At 36.3% G+C, this 12,797-nt stretch overlaps 2 protein-coding genes and 1 pseudogene across 10 annotated transcripts in view; 2 read left to right on the top strand and 1 right to left on the bottom strand.

Moving 5' to 3' along the window:
* JAK2 (Janus kinase 2) overlaps positions 1-12,797 on the bottom strand; it is a 145,559-nt gene that overhangs the window by 42,943 nt on the left and 89,819 nt on the right. For all 9 annotated transcript variants that reach the window (NR_169763.1, NR_169764.1, NM_001322194.2 and 6 more), the window contains 5 exons: positions 9,426-9,553; positions 8,562-8,700; positions 6,626-6,777; positions 6,323-6,473; positions 5,145-5,281 (listed from right to left, as the gene is read on the bottom strand). Coding sequence is in view for 7 of the 9 variants with exons in the window: in NM_001322194.2 (NP_001309123.1) it covers positions 5,145-5,281; positions 6,323-6,473; positions 6,626-6,777; positions 8,562-8,700; positions 9,426-9,553 (707 nt within the window). In the remaining 2 variants the exon portion in view is untranslated. The remainder of the gene's footprint in view (positions 1-5,144; positions 5,282-6,322; positions 6,474-6,625; positions 6,778-8,561; positions 8,701-9,425; positions 9,554-12,797) is intronic.
* The window catches only part of INSL6 (insulin like 6), a 193,664-nt gene that overhangs the window by 98,634 nt on the left and 82,233 nt on the right, over positions 1-12,797 (top strand). The window lies entirely within an intron of this gene.
* On the top strand, positions 775-2,316 carry PDSS1P1 (decaprenyl diphosphate synthase subunit 1 pseudogene 1; annotated as a pseudogene).

Here is a 12,797-nt window from a genome sequence, read left to right as displayed (position 1 = left end):
TTAAAAATGCTAAGTTGTATTGTTCCCGTACTAGGAAATAATAGGGAAAGTGAAGCAGATAATCAAGGGAAGGGGGGGTGATATAATTGTGGATACCAGCGAAAGTAGTTTAAAAGATATGAACATTTAAACGCGCTTGATACAAACTGCTCTATGAGAAGCTCTCTAGAAAGGGTCACCAATTTACGTTCCAATAAGAAGAAAGTGTGAAAGACACTAGCAATACCAAAGATATCAAAAAGAAGGCATTTATGTTGAAAAAAGCCAAAGGCTATAAAGTTATAGTCAGACAGGGAGATTTCAGGGTAGGAAATTTTCTAAGTAAGGTTATTACATGGGATTATAGAGTTCAAAGGAACTCATTTAACATAATCATAACTTTGGGGTAGAGAAGCCAAGGAATTTTTTTTTTAAGTATTGGAAGGGCATCCAAAATAATGGCAGGAGGTAAGGTGATGAGAAAACAATGAGTACTAAAAGTATTCAAGGAATGTGGACCAAGATGTTAGCTAATGATGGGAAGAGAGGAAAATAAGAATCATATTCAGAGAAGATTGAGAATGATGCTGATAATTTCAAAGTAGTCGCACTAAGATCCTGATCTCTGAATCCCATATCTGCACCATGGAGGAAAAAGGAATAAAGAGGATTTCAAAACCGCTAGGAGTGAAGCGAGAAGGTAAAGGATATAAAGAATATAAGAGGTTTCAGGCTCCAGGTCCTGGCAGGAGGATCGCGGGCCAGAGGCGGAGCCACCATCCTACCGCGACTTTCAGACTCCGACCGTGGCCTCGCGCTGGTGGCGGGGGCGGCGCGGCTGTTGCTGGAGACCGGCGGCGTGGAGACCGCTCCCCGAGCCTTGCGGGGCCGCCGGGGCCGCGCGCCGCTGCCGATGCCCGCGCAGGCTCATAGGCAGAAGGGACTTGACTTGTCTCAGATACCCTATTTTAATCTTGTGAAGCATTTAACACCTGCCTGTCCAAATGTATATAGTATATCACAGTTTCATCACACAACCCCGTACAGCAAAACACACAGTGGTGAGAAATACACCGATCCTTTCAAACTCGGTTGGAGAGACTTGAAAGGTCTGTATGAGGGTATTAGAAAGGAACCGCTCATATCAACAACAGAACTTAAGGAAATCTCTGAGTACTACTTTGATGTAAAAGGAAAAGCCTTTCGATCAATTATTGTGGTACTAATGGCCCGAGCATGTAATATTCATCATAATAACTCCCGACATGTGCAAGCTAGCCAGCGCGCCACAGCCTTAATTGCAGAAATGATCCACACTGCTAGTCTTGTTCACGATGACGTTATTGATAATGCACGTTCTCGAAAAGGAAAACACACAAGATCTGGGGTGAAAAGAAGGCTGTCCTTGCTGGAGATTTAATTCTTTCTGTAGTATCTATAGGTGGGGCACAAACTGGAAATACAGCTGTTATATCTATTTTAACCCGAGTTATTGAAGATTTGGTGTGTGGTGAATTTCTTCAGCTCGGGTCAAAAGAAAATGAGCATGAGAGATTTGCACAATACCTTGAAAAGACCTTCAAGAATACTGCGAGCCTGATAGCCAACAGTTGTAAAGCAGTCTCTGTTCTAGGATGCCCCGACCCAGTGGTGCATGAGATCACCTATCAGTACGGAAAAAATGTAGGAATAGCTTTTCAGCTAATAGATGATGTATTCGACTTCACCTCATGTTCTAACATAGGCAAACCAACATCAGCTGATGTGAATCTCAGGTTAGCCACTGGTCCTGTCCTATTTGCCTGTCAGCAGTTCCCAGAAATGAATGCTATGATCATGAGATGGTTCAGTTTGCCGGGAGATGTAGACAGAGCTCCACAGTATGTATTACAGAGTGATGGTGTAAAACAAACAACCTACCTTGCCCAGCAGTACTGCCATGAAGCAATAAGAGAGAGCAGTAAACTTCTCATCCCCAGAAAGAGACGCCCTCATTCAACTTTCAGAAATTGTACTCACAAGACATAAATGACAACTCTTTCTGTTCTTTCTGGCAGCTATCTCAGACTGTGCCTAAGAATTTTGTGGAATACACTTTGTTTGCTTCATGTGCAGATAACCAAAAATCATTTTAAAAGATATCAAACTTATTGATGGGCAATTTGTTTTATTGCAAAAGTTTTTTCAGAAAACTTTTTAAATGTAATTAAACCATCTGAATCTGTCATTCTAGTCCTATAAATTCTAATTGAGGTGTCTTGATGGTTATATGTGGTACTGTTTACACTGTTAATATCCACATGTAAGGCTATTACACAAATAATCCATGTTAAAATTAATTTAAAAAAGAATATAAGTATATGTGGGCATGAGGATAAAGGAAGAAAGCAAAAAACACTCTAGATTTCAAATAGCAAAAGAAAAGATTTCACAATAGTTTCTTGGCTCCTTTTACAACAGTATGAAAATATTTTTTAAAAAATAAAAAAATATACCATTATTTCTCTTGGCTTAAAACATATGAAAATAATTTTAAATATATATCCCTCTTTGGAATATTTTCACCATACCACTAATTGAAAAGGATAACAAAGGGATACAGTAGCTAATTTTTATAAAATGGAAAGGTGACATGCAATCATTTTTGTAGGAATGGCATTTTGATTGTTTCAGTAAGGCAGTACAAATATCTAGACAAACCACTGAACACATCAATTACTTCAAACAAACAAAGATGAAAGTAAAATTATGGTGTTAAATACAGATAGGAAATATCCACATTAAAATATCTATGACTGACTAATGATTACACCATTTACCTTTCATTTCCTACAAACTAAATTACTAAGAAATATATTTCATTGTACATGTATTTTGAAAACGCCTTCCTTAGAGTCTCTTCAATTTACTTATGTTTAAAAGAATTTTAAGCTCACGGAACTATGGAAAACACTAAAAATGTTAAAAAGCAAAAGAACATTAACTCAAAATTACAATAAAGGGGAATGTTGTAAATAAATTATGGTATATTCACTTAAAATTATGTCTCAAAAGAATATTAATAATGGGAAAATCTTGATATATGAAAAATAGCAAGATATAGAATTGTATATATAGAATGGTTTCACTATTGAAAGAAATTGTGTAGTTGTGCAGAGACTACAACAAATGGAACGTATCTTCATTGTAATATTTTCCAATTTCTCTATAAGCAGTATATCACTTTCATAACTAGAAAAATTACTTGAAAAGATAACTTTATAATTTAGTCTGCTGTTTCCCTTTTGTTAATCTAAATTAGTGATCTTTTGATGTATTCTTTGTTATGTCTACTTCTTAAATACCAGTATATATTCCATTGTTTTGACAATATATGACAAAATTGTGTGCCTAGTAATCTATTGGGATCTAAAGGAACTTTTTTTAAGTCAAGGAAAAAAAGGGCAAGCAAACAAAAACCAAGATCTAATAAACAACAGAAGACTGTGATTAAGTTGTATAAAAGAAACAATAAATGCTATAAGTTCCCAGAAAAGAGGAAAATCAATGACATCTGGAGATATTTCAGGAAAATATGAATTTAGGAATAGCTGATAATAACAGACAACACTAACATGGTACTTACTAGTGAGAACCTTATCCTAGCAAGCTTATGCGAGAAAGAGCTTACCACTATGGTTGGACCTACTAAGAACTGAGCATTCCCTGGTCTTACTTATAATATGTAGGTTATACATGACTGTGTGACGTTTTAATAGACAGAGTCTCTGCTAGTGAATATGGCACAGTCAAAATCCTAGACCCTAAGCAATAAGATTAATTCTCCCTGAGATAACTAAAGGCAGAAAGGCAGGCAGAAAAGCTTATGTATTCCTTTCTGTATTTCACTGAATCACTTAACAATGAACTCCTGCTACCAAGGAACAGTCTCTTGGTCAAGTCAATTTGAATAATACTGCCTAATTCATCTTCCTCTTGAAGATGTTCATGCACATTACATGTTAAAGCCTCTGAAAAGTTCTTCAGTTATAGGGAAAAGAAAGAGAGATCAGTGTGTTACTGTGTCTATGTAGAAAAGGAAGACATAAGAAATTCCATTTTGATCTGTACCCTGAACAATTGCTTTGCCCTGAGATGCTGTTAATCTGTAACTTTGCCCCAACCTGAAGCTCACAAAAATATGTGTTGTATGGAATCAAGGTTTAAGGCTAGGGCTGTGTAGGATGTGCCTTGTTAACAAAATGTGTACAGGCAGTATGCTTGGTAAAAGTCATCGCCATTCTCCAGTCTCAATAAACCAGGGACACAATGCACTGCGGAAAGCCGCAGGGACCTCTGCCCTGGAAAGCCGGGTAATGTCCAAGGTTTCTCCCCATGTGATAGTCTGAAATATGGCCTCGTGGGATGGGAAAGACCTGACCGTCCCCCAGCCCAACATCCGTGAAGGGTCTGTGCTGGGGAGGATTAGTAAAAGAGGAAGGCCACTGTCTCCTGCCTGCCCCTGGGAACTGAATGCCTCGGTATAAAACCCAATTATACATTTGTTCATTTCTGAGATAGGAGAAAAACTGCCCTGTGGCGGGAGGCGAGACATGTTGGCAGCAATGCTGCTTTATTATTCTTTACTCCACTGAGATGTTTGGGTGGAGAGAAGCATAAATCTGGCCTATGTGCACATCCAGGCATAGTACCTTCCCTTGAACTTATTTGTGACACAGATTCCTTTCCTCACATGTTTTCTTGCTGACCTTCTCCCCACTATCACCCTGCTCTCCTGCCGCATTCCTCTTGCTGAGATAGTGAAAACAGTAATAAATACTGAGGAAACTCAGAGACCAGTGTTGGTGCGGGTCCTCCATATGCTGAGCACTGGTCCCCTGGGCCCACTTTTCTTTCTCTATACTTTTGTCTCTGTGTCTTCTTTCTTTTCTCAGTCTCTGGTCCCACCTGACGAGAATTACCCACAGGTGTGGAGGGGCTGGCCCCCTTCATTCAGTAAAGATAGCTGTTTATTTAACACAGCATTTCTCCAACATCTGACAACCAAACCTTTTTTTTCTACAAGCACTCCTTAAAATGTTGTAGAAAGTGAACTTTAGAAACGCTCTTAAGTTTTTCCTAAATGAAATGATTATACTCTATTTGAAAAAATTCTGACAATTTACCTTGCCAAGTTGCTGTAGAAATTTCAAATGTCTCTCTTCAAACTGTGTAGGATCCCGGTCTTCAAAGGCACCAGAAAACCCCAGGGCACCTATCCTCATATTTGGTAACATGTCATTTTCTGTTAATAGTTCATAATCTGGAGAAATAAAGAATATTATCACCTTAAATTAGCAAATAACATTCTCTGGACTAAACTGATATACATTCAAGTTGACCAAAATAATCGTGAGTTAAAAATACTAAATGATACAGGGAAACTCAAATAGTTTCAATTATATTAATGGGAGCCTTTAATCATTACCCATAATCTGACAGGCCTTCAAGAGAGACTTTGCAAAGGATAAAATTTTGTTTTCCAAAATAAGAAGTTTTAGTATTCATAAAGTAAGGTAATATACTGATACTTATTGTGAGAAAGGTGAGTAGTACTGGGGTAGAAAGCACCTATAGGTCAAACACATGCATTTCAGCTCAGTATTTTGAAAAAGGAGAGAACAAAGCAAAACAAATACAGCTCATGTTTAGAGAATCAATCAATTATAAAATATGAGAAATGTTAAAGAGAATTGTTTTTTAAAAGTCAATTTAAGCAAAAAAAAAATACTATAATTTACAACTCACTAAATGGAAAACTAAAATTAGGTTACTGAAAGAAAAGGTCTTTTTGGCTGGGAGCGGTGGCTCAAGCCTGTAATCCCAGCACTTTGGGAGGCCGAGGCGGGCGGATCACAAGATCAGGAGATCGAGACCATCCTGGCTAACACGGTGAAACCCCGTCTCTACTAAAAATACAAAAAATTAGCCGGGTGTGGTGGCGGGCGCCTGTAGTCCCAGCTACTCAGGAGGCTGAGGCAGGAGAATGGCGTGAACCTTGGAGGTGGAGCTTGCAGTGAGCCGAGATCGCGCCACTGCACTCCAGCCTGGGCGACAGAGTAAGACTCCATCTCAAAAAAAAAAAAAAAAAAAAAGAAAAGGTCTTTTTATAAAAATGAAAATAATTCTCAGTCAAGGAGATTAGAATATGTATAAAGCATGAAAAGCCATATGAACATAAGAAATTAAGAGGGCCCAAATGACATCAAGAAAATGTTTTAAAGGAATTAAAAATTAGTAATGATTCATTAAATACAATAAAGATAGAAAGCTGGAAAATCAATAAGATCATTCAAATACATACCTGGAGTAAACAAACTGTTAAGATCTCGTATGATGGCTCTGAAAGAAGGCCTGAAATCTGGTTCATAATCCATACAATTATTTATAAGGTTTGCTAATTCTGCCCACTTTGGTGCAGGAAGCTGATGCCTATCTTCATAAAATTGTAGCTTCTATAATTAAAGAACCACAAACTGAGAATAAATTGTGTAATGCCACACCAACCTTCTTTTTAAAATTAGATGGGCTAAAAAATACAAATCATGTGAAAGAAATATGAAAGTTCAGAGATAGAGTAATTCTAACTTAGTCTATATAAACTTACTCTTTGAGAATCCAGAGCACTTAGAGGTTTATCTCCTCCACTGCAGATTTCCCACAAAGTGGTACCAAAACTCCATTTGTCTGTTGCCAAATTTAAATTTTTAGGATTTTCAATGCATTCAGGTGGTACCCATGGTATTCTCTCCTGAAGAACTTTTAAATGATACGAACAGAGTAGGGTTAAATAATTCACAAGTAAACCAATCTTTTATATGTAAATAGCTTTAAAGTTCAAATCATTTGAATAATCAGGCCTATTTTCTTTATTTTGGAGGGGTTGGATGTGCACATGCACATGACTGCATAAGCTTAAGAACCAGAAGGGACCTTCAAGATCATCTAATTCAATATTTCATCTTTAACAATGACAACATGGAGACATATGATTGAGTAATCTGCCCAAAGCCACACAATTTGTTAGCAGCAGAGACAGAATTAGAATCCTGTACAGTGAGTTCTGAATCAACTAATCTTTCCATTAAACCATAGTGTCTCAACTGGCATACCATTTTCTCAACCTCTTTCCATTAGTTTTACCTTCAAAAAAAAAAAATTTTTTTTTTGAGACAGGGTGTCACTGTGTCACTCAGGCTAGAGTGCAATGGCACGATTGCAGCTCACTATGCTTTGACCTCTTGGGCTTAAGTGATCCACCCAAGCGCTTTAGGAAGCAATCAGCCTCCCAAAGCATTGGAATTACAGGCATGAGCCACTGCACCTGGCCAAATCTTTTTTTTTTATATAGTTTATCCTAAAATTGCCCCATGATACTTTTTGGTATTTCTTCATAATGCGTAAGTAGTAAAGGTAATGTTACATCATTCAGAGATGTTCTAATGATTTAATAGCCATGGCAATTCCCACTTGCAGATAAAAAAAAAAACCCAAGGACCAACAAGCATTTATGGCAGATGGAAGGCTAAATTGCACCAAAATATTCTAGATATATGGAATTGATATAGGTGGGCTCTGCTCAAATCACGGAATTTCTCAAGTAAAGTTTCTGTGGTCTTTGATTCCACCAGAAGGACTGTATTCAAGAAAGGAAGAAGCAATATAACCCTACTTTCTGGTATTCTGACATAGACAGACAGACAAATAGATTGATTGACAAATACCTTCACCATATGAATACATTTTTTTCCATCTTCACTTCCGATTCCAAAGGATAAAATTTTCCAGGATACCAGATGTAAGACCCTGTAAGAATTTTCTGCCATACTCCCTACTCCTGTACTACTGCCCAGTTATCACTGTCTTCACTGTCAGATAAGTCATTAAGTTTAAGTACTATTAGCTTAAATAGGACACATCAGTGCACAAAAATTGATCAATTTAGAATCTAAATTTAGAACATCCAATTAGAGAAATTATCTAAGATAACAAAATTCAGTTATAATTATCTAGACCCAAAAAACCCCTCTCAACTATCTGACTGAAATTTGTATTTTTAACCCACTGTGTTAAGTAGTAAAGATGAACAAACACAAATCAAAGTTTTTTTAAGGTTTTAAAAAGTCAGAATTAGCTGGATAATTAAACTAATTTCTTCACAGAGGATAGAAAAAAATCCTAAAATCTCAGGCTAAATTTTTATTTAGTGACGAGAAGAAAAGAATATTTAGAAAATTTACTTGTGGCTCAAGGAATATTACAAAACTTCATACTAAAAATGGATAAAATCCTATCCTTCATACATAATTAGAGATTAAAACTGTTTTTAAAAAATCACCTCACAGTCCATGGTTATATGCTTATAAGAAAGAAAAATAGAGACTAAGATTTAACTAACAATTTAAATTGCTAAAAGTGATAATTTTATTATTAATCAGGAACATACAAATTAAATGGAATTCAAGGAAAATTAACAACATGCCCTTTACACCACTGCCCAAGTAAAGCTTAGTAACATTATATATAATCCTTCTAGAACTTACTGTCCTTTGGCAAAACTGTAATACTAATGCCAGGATCACTAAGTTTGATGAAAGGAGGATTTCCTGTCTTCCTGTCTTCTTCTCTGATAAGCAGAATATTTTTGGCACATACATTCCCATGAATAAGGGTGTTTTCTTCCTATTAGAGTTAAACGCACATATATTCAAATATCAGTCCACAAGTACTGGAGCATTTAGTATGTTCAAGCCCCCAAAACAGATTTAAAGAAGAAAAATACATGATAGTATAATAATTTGGAGGCATGCATTGAGAAAAAAGGAAATTTATGACTCCTATGCTTCCTGTTTTACATTTTAAATAACACAATAATCTATGCTTGTGATGAAATGAATAAATTAAAACTACCAATGCCATTTCACATGAGTTCTAAGGCTGACATGGTTTGTGTTTCTGGATGGGAGCTGACATTAAGAAATACTACTTCAGTTCTGCAGCAGGACATAGGTGCACCCTGAGGGGTCTGATGACTGGCAGTCCCCCTGGTATTCTTCTCTGTCAACACCGCTTTCTCATGGACCATAATGTACAATGGCCCAAAAATACAGAAGCACATACTTCTGCATAATTTTTGGTTGAATTTTCTAAATCCAAAAGACACAACATACAGATTGTCTATTAGTAGTTCTAAGATATTGATGGGATGACAAAACTTTTTTTTCAAAAGTGATTTTACATACATAAACATATGCCTAAAGTAATCTCTTTTTATCACCTAACACAGACTATTTTACATGAATTGGCATCCAATTACAGATTTATTTTTTGTTTCCAGGTAAAGATAATTTGTATATTGTTTTATAAAATAAAATAGTATCTTTTGATAAAAAGGTTGTACTACTTACTAGAAAATGCATGGCCCATGCCAACTGTTTAGCAACTTCAAGTTTCCATAATATATTTATACAATTTTTATTCTTTTTCAGATATGTATCTAGTGATCCAAATTTTACAAACTCCTGAACCAGAATATCTGCATTAAAATATAAGTAATAATAATAAGGCTTAAGTATAAATATAATTAAATATATGTAATTTAAATCTTTATACTTACATGTGACCATTATAGGTAAAGAAATTAAATTGGCAAAACTCACAACTTTAAAGAAAACTTAATGGATACACAGCATTATATTTTTGGTTTTTAGTTTACTTACAACAGCAAGAGTAGGAGTCTAAACAATTATATATTATTATATATAACATAAATGTATAATATATAATATACCAGCACACCTTTATATATTAGTACTGAATTATGGCTGGTTTTTAAAAATAAATGAAAATTTCTCAATTTCTCTTCCACATAACTTTTTAGACATTCAAACCTTCCTGAAGTTCTTCTACACACAAAAATTACTAACAATTGTCTATAGTACTATAGACATAAAGGAGAATTTGAGTTCTAGCTCCATTTAATCTTTTAATTCTGCAAAAAATACAGAAATGTTTTGCGCTGCTTTATCTTTAAAACTTTTTTAAAAAAATATATAAAACATATTTTGCCAGAAAAACAAGTGTTGGCTTCCAAAAACAATCCTGGATTCCTTCATGGTCCACAGGAGCCTCTCAGATACCTCCATATAACAGGTTCCAAACCACTGCTTTTGAGAAGATTATCAATTTTCAAAGATATGAAAAAATGTCATACAAGTGTAGATGTGTATTTAATCTGCATTACTAGTGGAAAATAGGGAATTATATAAACAATTTTCTTGAATGTAAACTTTGTGAGGCACTAAAATAAAGGCATACCTCGAAGATATTACCAGTTTGGTTTTAGACTACCATAATAAAGCAAGTCATGAATTTCTTGGTATCCCAATGCATATAAAACTTGTATATACACTATAATGGAGTCTATTTAGTGTGCAACAGCGTTATATCTTAAAAAAAACAAAGAATATATCTTTTTAAAAATACTTTATTGCCAAAAAAGGTGCTAATGATAATCTGAGCCTTCAGAAAGTTGTAATCTTTTTGCTTGATGTTAATCGCTGCTGACTGATCATGGTGGTGGCTGCTTAAAGTTCAGGTAGCTGTGGCAGTTTCTTAAAATAAGACAACAATGAAATTCACTGCAGACTCTTCCTTTCATGAAAGATTTCTCTGTAGCATGCAATGCTGTTTGATAGCCTTCTACCCACAGTAGAACTTTACAGGGTCAGTCCTCTCAAACCCTGCAACTGCTTGATCAATCAAGTTTATGTAAAATTCCAAACCCTTTGTTGTCATTTCACAATGTTCACAGCATCATCACTAGGAGTAGATTCCATCTTAAGAAACCACTTTCTCTGCTTATCCATAAGAAGCAACTCCTCCTTCTTTCAGGGCTTATCGTGAGATTGTAGCAATTGAGTCACATCTTCAAGCTCCACTTCTTAGTTCTCTGTTTCCACCATCTCTGCAGTGACTTCCTTCATTAAAGTACCATATCCCTCAAAGTCATCCAGGAGGGTTAGAATGAACTTTTTCCAAATTCCTATTAATGCTGCCATTTTGATCTCCTTCCATGAACCATGAATGCTATTCCTGGCATCTAGAATGGTGAATCCTTTCCATAAGTTTTTCTACTTACTTTACCCAGATCCACCAGAGGAATCACTATCTATGGCAGCTTAGCCTTACAAAATGTATTTCTTAGATAATAAGACTTGAAAGTTGAAATAACTCCTTGATCCATGGGCTACAGAATGGATGTTGTGTCACCAGGCCTGAAAATAACATGAATATCCTTGTACATCTCCATCAGAGCTCTTGGGTGACCAGGTGCATTGTCAATGATCAGTAATACTTTGAAAGCAATCTTTTTTTCTGAGCAGGTCTCAACAATGGGCTTAAAATAGTCAATAAACCATGCTATAAACAGATGTGCTGTCATCTAGGCTTTCTTGTTCCATGTATAGAGCACAGGCAGAGTAGACTTAGCATAATTCGCAGAGCCCTGGGATTTTTGGAATGGTAAATGAGCGCTGGTTTGAATTTCAAATCACCAATGGCATTGGCCCTTAGCAAGAGGGTCAGCCTGTCCTTCGAAGCTTTGAAGGCAAGCACTGACTTCTCCTCTCTAGCTGTGGAAGTCCTAGATGGCATATTCTTCCAACAGAAGGCTGTTTTGTTTACATTTGAAAATCTGTTTGTTAGTGTCACCATCTTCATCAATGGTCCTTGCTAGATCTTCTGGATAACTTGCTGTAGCTTCCACATCAGCATTTGCTGCTTCACCTTGCACTTATGCTGTGCACATGGCTTCTTTTCTTAAACCTCATGAACCAACCTCTGCTAGCTTCCAACTTTTCTTCTGCAGCTTCCTCACCTCTCTCAGCCTTCATAGAATTTAAGAGCATTAAGATCTTGCTCTAGATTGGGCTTTGGCTCAAGGGAATGTTGTGACTGGTTTGATCTTCTATCTAGAACTTTCTCTGTATCATCAATAAGACTGTTTCACTTTCTTGTAATTTATGTGCTCACAGGAGTAGCACTTTCAGTTTCCTTCAAGGACTTTTCCTTTGGATTCATAACTTGCCTTTTTAGTGCAAGAGGCCTAGCTTTCAGCTTGTCTTGGCTTTCAGCATGCCTTCCTCTCTAAGCCATCTTCATCAATGGTCTTTGCTAGATCTTCTGGATAACTGCTGCAGCTTCCACATCAGCGTTTGCTGCTTCATTTCTAGCTTTCCATTTAAAGTGAGAGACGGGTGAATCTTCCTTTCACTTGAACATTTAAAGACCATTGTGTGATTATTAAATGGCCTAATTTTAATATTGTTGTCTCAGGGAATAGGGAGGCCCCAGGAGAGGGAGAGAGACAGAGGAATGGCTCATTGATGGAGCAGTCAGAGCACACACTGCATTCATCTATGAAGTTTGCCTTCTTATATTCTCTCTGTTTGGGACACCCCAGAATAATTACAATACTAGCATTAAAGATTACTGATCACAGATCACCATATGATTTTTTTAAAGTTTGAAATGTTGCTAGAATTACCAAAATATGACACAGAGACATGAAATGAGCACATGCTGTTGGGAAAATGTTGCTGACAGAGTTGCTAGACACTGGGTTGCCGTAAACCTTCAATATGTAAAAAATACAATATCTAAGAAGCACAATAAAGCAAGGTGCAATAAAATGAGGCATGCCTGTATAGTATTAAAGCATGGGGTACGATTTATACTTTTAGTAGTTTCTGTGAACACCTAAATTTAGCCAAAAAATA

Source organism: Homo sapiens, chromosome 9, assembly GCF_000001405.40.
Source record: "Homo sapiens chromosome 9, GRCh38.p14 Primary Assembly".
In the NCBI taxonomy this organism is placed as follows: Eukaryota; Metazoa; Chordata; class Mammalia; order Primates; family Hominidae; genus Homo; species Homo sapiens.
This window is presented reverse-complemented; position numbering and strand designations above follow the sequence as displayed.